The sequence below is a fragment of the Homo sapiens genome, chromosome 22, assembly GCF_000001405.40.
Source record: "Homo sapiens chromosome 22, GRCh38.p14 Primary Assembly".
Lineage (NCBI taxonomy): Eukaryota > Metazoa > Chordata > Mammalia > Primates > Hominidae > Homo > Homo sapiens.
Window position 1 is genome coordinate 46,393,204 of NC_000022.11, and position 13,629 is coordinate 46,406,832.

The 13,629-nt window shown below is 52.5% G+C and overlaps 1 protein-coding gene across 6 annotated transcripts in view; it reads right to left on the reverse strand.

Moving 5' to 3' along the window:
• CELSR1 (cadherin EGF LAG seven-pass G-type receptor 1) overlaps positions 1–13,629 on the reverse strand; it is a 176,447-nt gene that overhangs the window by 32,030 nt on the left and 130,788 nt on the right. For all 6 annotated transcript variants that reach the window (NM_014246.4, NM_001378328.1, XM_047441624.1 and 3 more), the window contains exons 10-14: positions 6,514–6,699; positions 5,321–5,434; positions 4,471–4,645; positions 3,402–3,543; positions 939–1,059 (exon numbers count right to left, since the gene is read on the reverse strand). In NM_014246.4, coding sequence (NP_055061.1) covers positions 939–1,059; positions 3,402–3,543; positions 4,471–4,645; positions 5,321–5,434; positions 6,514–6,699 — 738 coding nt within the window. The remainder of the gene's footprint in view (positions 1–938; positions 1,060–3,401; positions 3,544–4,470; positions 4,646–5,320; positions 5,435–6,513; positions 6,700–13,629) is intronic.

Consider the following 13,629-nt stretch of genomic DNA (forward strand, 5'->3'; position numbering starts at 1 on the left):
GAGCGCCATGGCCGTGGTGTACACGAAGATCCTGAAGGAGGTGATGTATCCTGAGAGGGCTGGGGAGGGGTCCCTAGAGTCTGCACTGAGAACGCGTGTGCATTTCTGGAGACACGAGATGTGAGCTCCGTGCTGCATGCAGGTTAGGACTGACCGCCCTGGACAGGCGTGGGGCATAACGCACTTAGTGACACTTTCTATTTTAAAACTGCTGTCATCATGGGACACCAGCTTGGTAAAGACCAGGAAAATGGCCAGGCACGGTGGCTCACGCCTGTAATCCCAGCACTCTGGGAGGCTGAGGCGGGCGGATCACCTGAGGTCAGGAGTTCAAGACCAGCCTGGCCAACATGGTGAAATCCTGTCTCTACTAAAAATACAAAAATTAGCTGGGCATGGTGGTGGGCGCCTATAATCCCAGCTACTCAGGAGGCTGAGGCAGAAGAATTGCTGGAACCCGGGAGGCGGAGGCTGCAGTGAGCCGAGATCGCACCACTGCACTCCAGCCTGGGCGACACAGCGAGACTCTGTCTCAAAAAAAAAAAAAAAAAGACCAGGAAAATGGCCAACCAGGAGGCCAGGAGGGCCGGGGTGGTGCCATAGATGAGCCAGCCCTCAGAAACGGGTGGGCTTCCCACAGCCATGGGCAGTAGGCCGGGAGGAGGCAGGGATTCCTGTTCCACGGGCGGGGGCTGGCAGGGCTGAACCCGTAGTTTACACGTGGAAAGCAGCCATGGAGTATTCACAGAGCACGGGGGAGCAGCAAGGAAACCAAAAACCACATCTGTACACAAATGTGATGTGAGTGGGCACAGGTGTGTGTGCAGGGGTGTGAGTGTGTACCGACAGGGTATGTGAAGGCGTGTGTGTATTTAGGGGCAGCTGTGCATGTGTGTGAGCAAACACAGCATGCAGGGATCATGGGGGCGGGGCCTCACCTTGCATTGGCACTGGCCGTTGGTCTTATTACAGTCGGGATCAAAGCCTTTGCTGACGGCACAGTGGCAGGGTCCACAGACGGGGTTCCCCCACCAGCCTCTGGGGCACGGAAGGTCGAGTCTGTGGGGAAAATAAGAGGGCAGCTGGAAGGTTTATGTAACTGTGCTTTCTGGAATGAGAAGAGGCCTGCAGGCAGCATGGAGATGGTTGCCCAGGAGGCCTGGCTGGGTCCAGCTCTGGGAGCTTCCCCTTCCACGTTACATGGCCTCAGTCTCCCCTCTACCGGCTCCCAACCTCACCCCCCACCCACAGATCCACCATGCCCAAAGCGACTGGGATGACATCTCTGTCCACCGTGTGCCCCACGTCCACATGATGCCTGACTCATTGGGGCTTAATGACAATGAACCCCCACTGCAAGGCTGGCCTTTCACGATGCAGCCCCAGGCAGACTGAGCTCAGCTGCCTGGCACAACTTCTCAAAGTGGTCTTGGGGTGAATGCCAGCATGAGATGCCCGCAGGAAGCTCCTAAACAGGGAGTTTTGTAGCTTTTGTTGTCCCCCAGGTCCCCTGGCCCCCAGACCCACAGATGCTCAGGGCAGCCATGCCCTGGTGTAGCATGCCCCTTAGGACGGCGGCATGCGCCCGTGCACTCGGAATCCAGCAGAAGCCAGTCCTGCCTCCCTGAGCCTCCCCCGGCAGAGAGCAACAGACACTGAAGATGAGCAACACTGCAGGGACAAAGCCAGGCCTCCGAGGTGCTGGCCGCTGCTGTGCATGAGTCTCCCTACCTGTTCCTGACAGGGCTGCACCTGCGCAGTCACCTGAAGGCCCACCTGCCTGCAACGGCCCCGCCCGAGTGTCCTGCGGGCTCCTGCAATCCCCCCTGGCTAACCAAGTTCCCTCCACCCAGCTGCCAGCCTCTAGCATTCACTCACTTGGCGAGCAAGTATTAAGGACTGTGTACAAATCAGGGTCATAAAGACAACCAGGCCAGAGATAGAGTCTGGCGTTTATGGATGTGTGTGTGCAGCGTGGGGGCCCCAGAACCTTCATCCCCCTGCAGCAGTGGTGACTGTGGCGCCGGGCATGGAGATGCTGGATCAGCCTCTTGGCAACTCCCCCTGCTCCAAGCTGTGCTCCATGCGGCAGGTGGGGGTTCCCTAAGACCAGGTCCTGCCACTTTAGTGCTGGGCCCCCACGGCCTCCACACAGCCGAATTCTGTTCCTGGCTTGCGGGCCCACCTCTGTCCCCACCCAGGCCTCTCTAGATCAGCCTCATCCCCTTACTCCTCTCCAGCTTGGCTCTGTTGCTTTCGCTCCCAGAATGCCCTCCCGCTTCAGCCACACTGGCTCCCACCTCCCTCTCCACTCCCAGGGCACCTCCGCGGCGCTCTCCCTGGCATCACATCTTGCTGATATCCAAGAATGATGTGGTGCCATCTTCTCGTGAGGTCACCAGCTCCAGGGCACAGGCTGCTTCCCACTCATGGGGTCACAGCCGGGATCACAGCACCTGCTCTAGGCTCGGGAGGACAAAGAACGGAGCATAGCAGGTGTCCCTGCACCTGATGGCCACCAGCAGCTGAGGACAATGAGCCACAGGGGCATCACCTCCACGGCGGCCTGGAACCTTGGTTTATGAAGAACCCAGCAGCTCCACCTTGGACAAAGTGACGCTTGTGATGACTACGCACCTGTACCCAGCGATCCCCGTGCAAAGGGTACAGAGCCCAGAGCCCAGAGAGCACGCTGCTGCCTGTCCTAACCACACTAGGATCTCCGCACACATCAGAAATGACTTCAAGCCCAGCGACTCGACAGAGAAAGCATTCTCTGTAAACCACATGCGTCTCCCTGCATCTCATGGGGCCTGTTTGCTCTGGGCCCAGTGAGGACTCCAGGTGAGTCATTTGCATGTTTCAGGTGTGGACACATGATCCAATGGGGTTAGTTTGAGACGTCCAAATTGATTCTCATTGCCCAAGCGTGGTGGCTCACACCCGTAATCCCAGCACTTTGGGAGGCTGAGGCAGGTGGATCACTTGAGGTCAGGAGTTCGAGACCAGCCTGACCAATATGGTGAAACTCCATTTCTACTAAAAATACAAAATATTAGCTGGGCATGGTGGCGGGCACCTGTAGGACCAGCTACTCGGGAGGCCGAGGCAGGAGAATCACTTGAGCCCAGGAGGCAGAGGTTGCAAGGAGCCAAGATCGCGCCATTGCACTCCAGCCTGGGTGACAGAGCAAGACTCTGTCTCAAAAAAATAAAAATAAAATAAAAATTAAAAAAAATTTGATTTTCACTTAATTCATGCCAAATTAAAAAAAAATATGTCCCTGTTACCCAGAATCACACATATCTTTGGGTCAAAATAAGAAAGAGAAGACACTGAGTCGAGGGAACACAGCCACATGGACTCTGAAGGTGCAGGGAGGCACCAGGGGCTGCTCTTACTTGTTCTCACAGTACGGCCCGTAGTGACTGGGCCCACACTCGCACACGTAGCCCTGCGGGGAGCCGGGGGAGCGCACGCAGGCCCCCATGTTCTCGCAGGGGTTCAGGTGACAGGCATCCACACAGTTTATTCCAAGGTACCCTGCAAGGACAGAGCCAGCATTACCTCCACCCACAATCCACGAGACCTTCCACGTTAAAATATCTGGAGCAACCTGTCCCCTCCAGAAGATCTGACTTTCCCTGGTACTCAGCAGAGGGAAGAGGAAGAGTGCCACAGAGTCCCCGAAAACACAGCGTTAGGCGGGTTAGACTTAGTGATGCAGAGAGGAAGGCCTTCCCGGGCTGCCCCAAGGAGGGTGAGAGCCTTGGAACACGGGGCCCAGGCTGCCCCAGGACACATGGGGAATGGCCACCAGCAGAAGATGACTTAAGCACCTCAAAACTCTGAGGCCACCCTGAATGGAGGATTTTCTTAATATGCACTTTTCACTAATTCTTTTATTTATTTATTTATTGAGAAGAGTCTTGCTCTGTTGCCCAGGCTGAGGTGCAGTGGCATGATCTCAGCTCACTGGAACCTTTGCCTAAGAAGCTCAAGTGATCCTCCCACCTCAGCCTCCCACGTAGCTAGGACTACAGATGCGTGCCACCATGCCTGGCTAATTTTTGCTTTTTTTTTTTTTTTTTTTTTTTTCGTAGAGATGGGGTTTCACCATGTTGCCTGGCTGGTCTTGAACTCCTGGCTTCAAGTGATCCACCCACCTCGGCCTCCCAAAGTGCTGGGATTACAGGTATGAGCCACTGCACCCGGCCTTACTTTTCACTGTTTCTTTGCTGATCACCCCATGTGCTGAGGAGAGCGCCTGGGGCACTCTGTGCCTTGAGTAAGGAAGAGGCTCAGAGTCTCTCTCTAGGAGGGGCCCGCTTGTTATAAAATAAAGCTCAGGGCTCCACGGAACCACAGGGAGTTGGCTGGGGACGCTAATGTCTAAACTGAGCCCCCCTCCTGTGTTTCAGCCATAAGAGACCTCCCTGTCACTGAAGGGCCCCGGGAGGGCGGTCCCACCTTTGTCACAGACGCAGCTGTAGTCCTCCCAGGCGTCGTGGCAGCGGCTATTGGGGGGACAGGGGCTCGAGGTACAGGGGTCGTCCACATCACAGCCGTCCTTCACCCTGACCTTGAGTGCGTTGTTCATGTTCAGGGTGGCGACGTTGGTGGGCGTCCCCCCCATCCTCACTCCCTGCATTAAGTAAACGGCACTGGGGCTACAGGAGCCCGGAAAGGTATGTAGGGGTTAAGGGAACCCTGAGACCTCTCTGGTCCCTTGCGAGGCATTCATCTGTGATGCCTCATTTATCTACAGAGCTGGGGCGGGCAGGGTTGTTCCTCTTGCCCCACGGCCTGCTGGCCGGAGTGCAGTGGAGGGCTGGGTGAGGAGCTCAGAGGGCACGCCAGCCTGAGCTCCTGGGGTGCGCGGTGGGGGCGTGAGGAGTGGATGTCCCTGCCGAGGGGGCTGAGAGCTGAACGACTCAGAGCAGCTCCCTCGGCCGTAGCTGGAACCCCTGGCTCCAGGGGACAGGCACGGGGCCCACTTGGGTGACGTCTGTGGTTGGACTGGGTGGGGGTGGCGGCAAGGGGCTCGATTCAGGACACTTCACAAAGGCAGAGGGGCAGGTGGCTGGCATGGCGGTGGGGAGCTGTGGGGGCCAGGGACGGCCCGGATGCCAAGGGGAACCGCAGGGGAGAATGGGTCTGAAGAGGAAACAGGAGCTGTTAAAGTGGGGATGCCTGTCAGACAAATTCTTCACTCGTTGAAAGCTAACAGGTTGACCAACGGAACCACCTATGGTGCTGCCAGCCTCGGAGCTGCCTGTGAGGGGCAGGCCTCCCCCCGCCCCCCACAACCCCCACGCACCTGCATGCAGCCTCGGAATCCACGGCGCACGGAGACCTTGTCTTCAGAGGCGCCTCCGACCACCACGCTCCTTACCGTCAGCCCGGGAAGCATGCCCCCGATATCTGCCTTGTTCTGTGCGGAGAGAGGGGCCGGGGATCTGGGGGCTGCATCCACCATCCTAGAAACGTCTCTCAGATGGGAAGGATACACTGGAAGTCTAAACAGTCACTTCAACAAACTCCGCAGAGCCTGAGGACATCTGGGCCTCCAAAGAGAGAGCTGGGCCCAGCTGGACAGCGAGGCTGGCTGTGATGACCAGGGCGAGGGGACCAGGCCAGAGGATGGGTGTCCATGCCCCAGCCTAGCTGAGGCGGCCAGTGGGGTCAACGTGGGCAACTGTCCCGCCTCCGTCAAGGGCACAACACTAAACCAGCCACGCTGTGACAGAGAGCTTGGCGAGTCAGGAAGACTGCAGTGAACGGAAATCCGCTCACTCATTAACACTGTGGGAACCCAAGAGGGTCTCGGCTGAGATCCAGTCCCAGAAAGGCAGGTGCCTGGAACACACCTATTTACTCCCAGGTCTGTGTTGTAAGATGAGCCTTGGCTCCAAGAGCTCTTGGAGATCCCAGGTCGCCCCTTAAGTGTGTGGGCATTTCACAGACAACATCTTGGGTTACCTGCCTGCAAACTGTGGAAACCTAGTTTGGTTAAGTGTTCCGAACATTGTCTGGGATACCACCACCTGCCTGCCTGGGACATGTGTGGCTCCCTGGTGTCTCACAGGCCTGTCCAGGACCTGGGTCTCACTGCTCTCCCAGTTTTGCTCCCCATCCATGCTCTGAGGGCACGGGCCCCAGCATTGCTACTTCAGTACCCTAAAGACATGGTGCTGAGCCTGCAGGTGTTGCTCAAGATGGCTTTGCTAAAAGAAACCACTGCTGAAGGCACCAACAGCATCATGATGAGAAATGCAGCTGGAGGAAGTCAGCTGCTGACTGCCGGGGGCGGGGCATCCGGATGAAGGAGGTGAGGAAGATGCCAGTGACCTCAGTACAGGGCAGAACAGAAGCCCACCTGCGGGGACCCAGAAAGTGCCTCCCCAAATCCACAAGGTCTCTGGTGGGTCCTGGCACGTCAAGGGGTCATTCTGTTTTTCCCTGGGCCGGAGGAAGGGTCTATCCCCAGAGGAGGTGCAGGTGCCAGCTCACCTGGTCCATCCCATAGTCCAAGGTCATGGTGACCAGGTGCTTCATCTCACTGTCCTCCTTAACATTCTTCAGCTCGATCAGCAGGTGGTGCCACTCCCCGTCGGTCACCCGCAACCCGGACAGCATCACGGACTCCACATCGGAGGGGCCGTGGGACACCTCAAACTGGAGGTAGTTGTTCAGGATCTGGAGCAGGGAGAGCCACACCGACTGATTGGTACAATGACAATGAAAGAGAAAACATTTTGCAGTCACTTAAACAAGGAAGCTGTGAAAGGAGACTGATTATGTGGCACCAGATACAAGATAGGCTTAAAAATTAGGCAAAGTTGGCCAGGTGCGGTGGCTCAGGCCTGTAATCTCAGCATTTTGGGAGGCTGAGGTGGGTGGATCACCTGAAGTCAAAAGTTCGTGACCAGCCTGGCCAACATGGTGAAACCCCATCTTTACTAAAAATACAAAAATTAGCTAGGTGTGGTGGTAGGTGCCTGTAATCCTGGCTACTCAGAGGCTGGGGCAGGAGAACTGCTTGAACCTGGGAGGTGGAGGTTGCAGTGAGCTGAGATCGCAGCATTGCACTCCACCCTGGGTGACAGAGCGAGACTTGGTCTCGAGAAAAAAAAAAAGTTAGGCAAAGTTGGCTGGGAGCAGTGGCTCAGGCCTTTAATCCCAGCACGTTGGGAGGCCACAGCAGGCGGATCACCTGAGGTCACGAGTTCAAGACCAGCCTGGCCAACATGGTGAAACCTGCCTCTACTAAAAATACTGAAATTAGCCAGGCATGGTGGCAGGCACCTGTAAGCCCGGCTACTCCGCAGGCTAAGGCAGCAGAATCGCTTGAACCTGGGAGTCTACTAGAGGTTGCAGTGAGCCGAGATCGCGCCACTGCACTCCAGCCTGGGAGACAAGAGCGAGACTCTGTCTCAAAATAATAATCATCATTAGACAAAGTTGGCTGGGCGTGGTGGCTCACACCTGTAATTTCAGCACTTTGGGAAGCCAAGGCGGGTGGATTGCTTGAGGCCAGGAGGTCAAGGCCAGCCTGGCAAACATGGCAAAACCTCGTGTCTACTAAAAATACAAAAATTAGCTGGGCATGGTGGTGTGCTCCTGTAATCCCAGCTACTTGGGAGGCTGAGGTGGAAGGATCACTCAAGCCCAGGAGGCAGAGGTTGCAGTGAGCCTAGGTAGCACTACTGTACTTCGACTTGGGTGACAGAGTGAGAACCTGTCTCAAAAAAAAAAAAAGTATAGGCAAAGTTGTTCTTTGTTGCTGTTGCCTTTAACACTGATCAGAATTGCTTGTCTTATTCTACGGGAAAAAGGATCAATCGCTTCATGGAGGTCAAGTAAGGGAAGCGCCAAGAACAAGCCCCATTAGGCTTTTAAGTACTGGGACCCAGCTCGATTCAGGTAACTACTGGGCTCCTATTTTTGGATGTAAACATTATACTTTATAAGACAAGATTTAATCCTCTGTGTTTAATTACATGTATGAAAAAAACAAAAATCAGCATTGCAACTGGCCTAAAACACTCATATTTTAAAATAAGGTAGGCCAAGGGCAGCGTGAAAATCTTAGATCTCCTAAGAAAGGACTTGGCAATTTGGACCACCTCTCCTCTTGAAATCACCTACGAACATGAGACAAAATATTAAAGAATGTCTGTTTGAAGACACTGAAGTGGCTCCAGGCAAAACAGAGTTTCAGGCTCACAACCAAGGAAAAGACAGAATCTGCAAAACAGCGTGGCGTGTGCTTCCCTGCAAGGCCGTCAGCTGGTTCTGGAAGACACAGTGGAGGCTGAGCGTGCAGTCAGGTCACGGCTGCCAGGTACCTGAAACCCCTGCCCTCCTTGGCACTCTTCAGCCCTATCAGCAGGTGGTACGACGCTCCATCAGTCGCCTGTGACCTAGAGTCTCAAGATGCCTAAAAGCTTTCTAGGTTCATGGGGCTGGAGGATTAAAAACTGGGGTTCATGGACTGCCAAGGGTTGTTCCTTGGCTTCTGGTTGGAACCCTGAGGGGTTTACACTAACGATAAAAACGAAAAAGAGCCACCTTTGCAGGACTGGAAGCCCAGCTTTGAACCACCTCAGTCTGTGACTGCATTAAACTCTGTGACTTTGGGAGACCAAGGCGGGTGGATCACCTGAGGTCAGGAGTTTGAGACCAGCCTGACCAACAAGGTGAAACCCCATCTCTACTAAAAATACAAAAAATTAGCTGGGCGTGGTGGCAGGTGCCTGTAGTTCCAGCTGCTTGGGAGGCTGAGACAGGAGAATTGCTTGAACTCGGGAGGCGGAGGTAGCAGTGAACCGAGATCACGCCACCGCACTCCAGCCTGGGCGATGGAGCGAGACTCCATCTCAAAAACACACAAACAAAAAAGTCTGTGACTGCATTCAAGTGCTCTGGGAGGGAAAGTGCTCCTAGTGGTTGCCAGAAGCAAACATGGAAGATAATGACATCCCCATCATCCCCATTCTAGTTTCTCTTTTTCTTTTTTTTTTTTTTGAGACAGAGTTTCACTCTTGTTGCCCAGGCTGGAGTGCAATGGCACAATCTCAGCTCACTGTAAACTCCACCTCCCAGGTTCAAGTGATTCTCCTGCCTCAGCCTCCCGAGTAGCTGAGATACAGGTACCCACCACCACACCCAGCTAATTTTCTGTATTTTTAGTAGAGACGGGGCTTCTCCATGTTGGTCAGGCTGGTCTCGAACTCCTGACCTCAGGTGATCTGCCTGTCTTGGCCTCCCAAAGTGCTGGGATTACAGGCATGAGCCACTGCACCTGGCCCCCATTCTAGTTTCAAATGCTCTCTAGTTTTTCAATAAAATGTCTAGCACTCAATAAAAAATAGCCAAGTATACGAGGATATAAGGTAATATGCTTGAAAACCAAGAGAAGCAAGGAAGAGTGGCAACAGACCACAGATTCATCAGACACAGACTCAAAAATAACACTGGGAACCACAAAACTTTCAAGGAAACAGACTCAGTGAGACAATTAGACTTACTTCTGGGTGTAGGTGTTACAGAGATAAGGGTCAAACGGCCATGTTTAAGTACATGTAAGAAGAATCAGAAAACAAGGTTGTAACTAACCTAAGATGCTCATATTTAAAGATAACTTCAAAAAATAGCCTAGATTTTAGAAAAACAACTATTAGCACACTGCTTATATTATACCTGAAATATAAGGATACAGAAAATGTTGAAAGTAAAAGGATAGAAAAAAATACATCATATAAATACCAACCAAAAGACAAATGGTATAGCTATGTTAATATGAGACAAAGTAGACTTAAGGCAAAAGTCCTCACTACAGAAAAAGAGGAATTTCATAATGATAACCAAGTCAATTTGCTGGGAAGATAAATCAGCTCTAAATTTGTATGCACCTAATAACCTGGCCTCAAAATCTATATAGCAAAAATCAAGATTACTAAGAGAAGTAATAGATAAATCTACAGTCAAGGTAGATTTGTAACTAACTTCTCTCAGTAAGTGAGGAGACAAAGACAAAAAAACAATAATTAAAACCAATAGGCTGGCGCGGTGGCTTACACCTGTAATCCCAGCACTTTGGGAGGCTGAGGCGGGTGGATCACAAGGTCAGGAGATCGAGGCCATCCTGGCTAACACGGTGAAACCCCGTGTCTACTAAAAATACAAAAAAAAAAAAAAAATAGCCAGGCGTGGTAGTGGGCGCCTGTAGTCCCAGCTATTTGGGAGGCTGAGGCAGGAGAATGGCATGAACCCAGGAGGTGGAGCTTGCAGTGAGACGAGATCAAGCCACTGCACTCCAGCCTGGGCGACAGAGCAAGACTCTGTCACACACACAAAAAAAACAATAACGATATAGAATATTTGAATACCACGATTAACAAATTTAACCTACTTGATGTATATAGAACAGTACAGATAACAACTGCAGAGCACACAGGGGCATGTGTACAAAACTGGCTAGAGGCCAGGCACGGTGGCTCACAACTCTAATCCCAATACTTTGGGAGGTGGAGGCAGACAGATCACCTGAGGTCAGGGGATCGAGACCAGCATGGCCTACATGGTGAAACCCCGTCTCTACTAAAAATACAAACATTATCTGGATGTGGTGGCAGGCACCTATAATTCCAGCTACTAAGGAGGCTGAGGCAAGGGAATCCCTTGAACCCGGGAGGTGGAGGCTGCAGTGAGCTGAGATTGCACCACTGCACTCCAGCCTGGTGACAGAGTGAAACTCCGTCTCAAAAAAAAAAAAAAAAAAAGAAAAAAAGAAAAAAAAAACTGACTAGATCTGGGCTGTAAACCACATTTCAAAGCTCTGAAACCACATGGTATACATTCTTTGACCTGCAATTATGCTAAAAACAATACCAAAATGATTTACTAGAAAATGCTACATGAGGCTGGGCGCGGTGGCTCACACCTGAAATACCAGCACTTTGGGAGATCGAGGCGGGTGGGTCACCTGAGGTCAGGAGTTGGAGACCAGCCTGGCCAACATGGTGAAAACCTGTCTCTACTAAAAATACAAAAATTAGCTGGGCGTGGTGGCACACACCTGTAATCTCAGCTACTCGGGAGGCTGAGGTAGGAGAATCCCTTGAACCTGGGAGGCAGAGGTTGCAGTGAGCAGAGTTCACGCCACTGCACTCCAACCTGGGAGACAGAGTGAGACTCCATTTCAAAAAAAAAAGAAAAAGAAAAAAGAAAAGAAAACGCTACATGCTTGCTAACCTAGAAATCTACTTCTAAATATCACATCAGTCTAAGATAAATTCATGAGAGAAAACAGGATACAGGTTTTAACTGGCTGTAAAGATTATGTAACTAAAACTGTATTTTGCTTTTTGGTCTCTATTGATAGTTTGGGTTTTTGGTGGGGGAGGGGGGCACACACACACAAAAAAACAGATGCACACCTGGCTAATTTTTGTATTTTTAGTAGAAACAAGGTTTCTCCATGATGGCCAGGCTGGTCTTGAACTCCTGACCTCAGGTGATCCACCTGCCTTGGCCTTCCAAAGTGGTAGGATTACATCCATGAGCCACTGTACCTGGCCTGATAGTTATTTTAAGAAGATAACTTTTCACCTTTTTCTATTTTGTCTTTTTTTTGAGACAGTTTCGCTCTTGTTACCCAGGCTGGAGTACAGTGGTATAACCTTGGCTCACTGCAACCTCTGCCTCCTGAGTTCGAGTGATTCTCCTGCCTTAGCCTCCGGAGTAGCTGGGATTACAGGTATGCACCACCACACCCAGCTAATTTTTGTATTTTTAGCAGAGATGGGGTTTCCCCATGTTGGCCATGCTGGTCTCAAACTCCTGACCTCAGGTGATCCACCCGCCTCAGTCTCCCAAAGTGCTGGGATTACAGGCGTGAGCCACTGCACCCAGCCTCCATTTTGTTTTCTTTTGTTCTATAGAAGTCAGCTTATTAATTTCCTTTGCTTGGCCGTGCACAGTGGCTCGTGCCTGTAATCCCAGCACTTTGGGAGGCTGAGGCGGGTGGATCACGAGGTCAGGAGACCGAGACCATCCTGGCTAACCCGGTGAAACCCTGTCTCTACTAAAAATACAAAAAATTAGCCAGGCGTCGTGGCAGGGGCCTGTAGCCCCAACTACTCGGGAGGCTGAGGCAGGAGAATGGCGTGAACCTGGGAGACAGAGCTTGCAATGGGCTGAGATCATGCCACTGCACTCCAGCCTGGGTGACAGAGCGAGACTCCGTCTCAAAAAAAAAAAAAAAAAAAAAATTCCTTTGCCATCTCTTGCATTGTTCTTGCTTAAAGAACTCCAAAGTGAGCAGATCAGTGATAAAAGTGATGTTATATCTACAAACAAAAGTGATATCCACAGGATGAACCTGTTTTATGGGAGGTAACTGAGAGTGTGTCCCCAGCTCTCAGTCAGAGAGGCATTCAGCAATCTCAAGGTTATCCCACCTGACAAGGTGGGTGGATTTTGGGTGCCCGAGAGCAATTATCCAAATTGCTTGGGCTGTGGGATTACAATGGAGTCTTCTTTGTCCCACCACAGTGGCAGGGGCACAGGAGACATCCTTTGAGGGACAGCCAAACTGCTGCTTTACGGAGCTCACAGGCCCACGGGAGGCCTGCAAGCTGATAATGGCAAGGAGAAATCCCCCAGAACCTTCGGTAACGTGTGGTTGACCGGCCTCTGCGAGCTGCCCTGGGGGCCTTCTGGGTGCCCAGTGGGGTCTGCAGCATCCCCTCAAGGCCACCCCTCCAGCCACCCAGACTTCCACAGGGAGGGCTGGCTGTAGTCCCTGGCAAAATTCCTAATCTGGGGATGAGCCCTCCATGATGTAATTACACAAACAGCACCGGAGTCTGTGGCTTCCAGCACCATTCCTACTGAAAGCGCACTTTTTTCCTACAGAGACCCCACTGCCAAATGACAACTTGCAAGCTCCAGTTCATCACCTGCATCCAACAGCCAATTTAATTTGTTCTGACAGTGAAACCACCACACAGAAAATACCATCCCCAGGCAGCACCGCACTTGCCAAGTTTTGGCCTGGAGCAAGCTTCTGGGGCTGCCTGGGAGACTCATGAAATTACAGGTTAACAAGGGCCCACAGGCCAGCTGTAATCATCCCTGGCGCACACCACACCTTCCAGGCAATCCGAGAGGTCTGTGCTGGAAAATGCTCCCGAGCTGTGATGGGGAGGAACAGGAGGCTCCCTGTCCAGGCCTGAGCCCCTGCCCCACAGCCCCGACCCATCTCCTGAGCCCTCGCTGATCTGCTGAGGGACTGACCTCCACCAGCCTGCTGGGAGCACTCTCGGTCCTGCCCCCGCCACACTCCAACCAGGCACTCATGATGGGGAGGGCATGTGCTGGGCAGTCCCTCTGTCCACCCGCCAACCCTCATGCCAATCTTGGCTATACAGAACTGTTTCTAGATGGGCTGTCCTTAGGAGTGACAGAGAAGGGCCTGTGGCTGTCCCAGGAACCTGGGCAGGAAAAGAACCATAGGGTCCCTAGTGAAGAGCCTCTACGCCTCAGTTTCCCGTGTGTGGAACGAGAGCTTGGAGCAGGCACTCCGTAAAATCCATCTCACCTCTCACCATCTGACCTTAG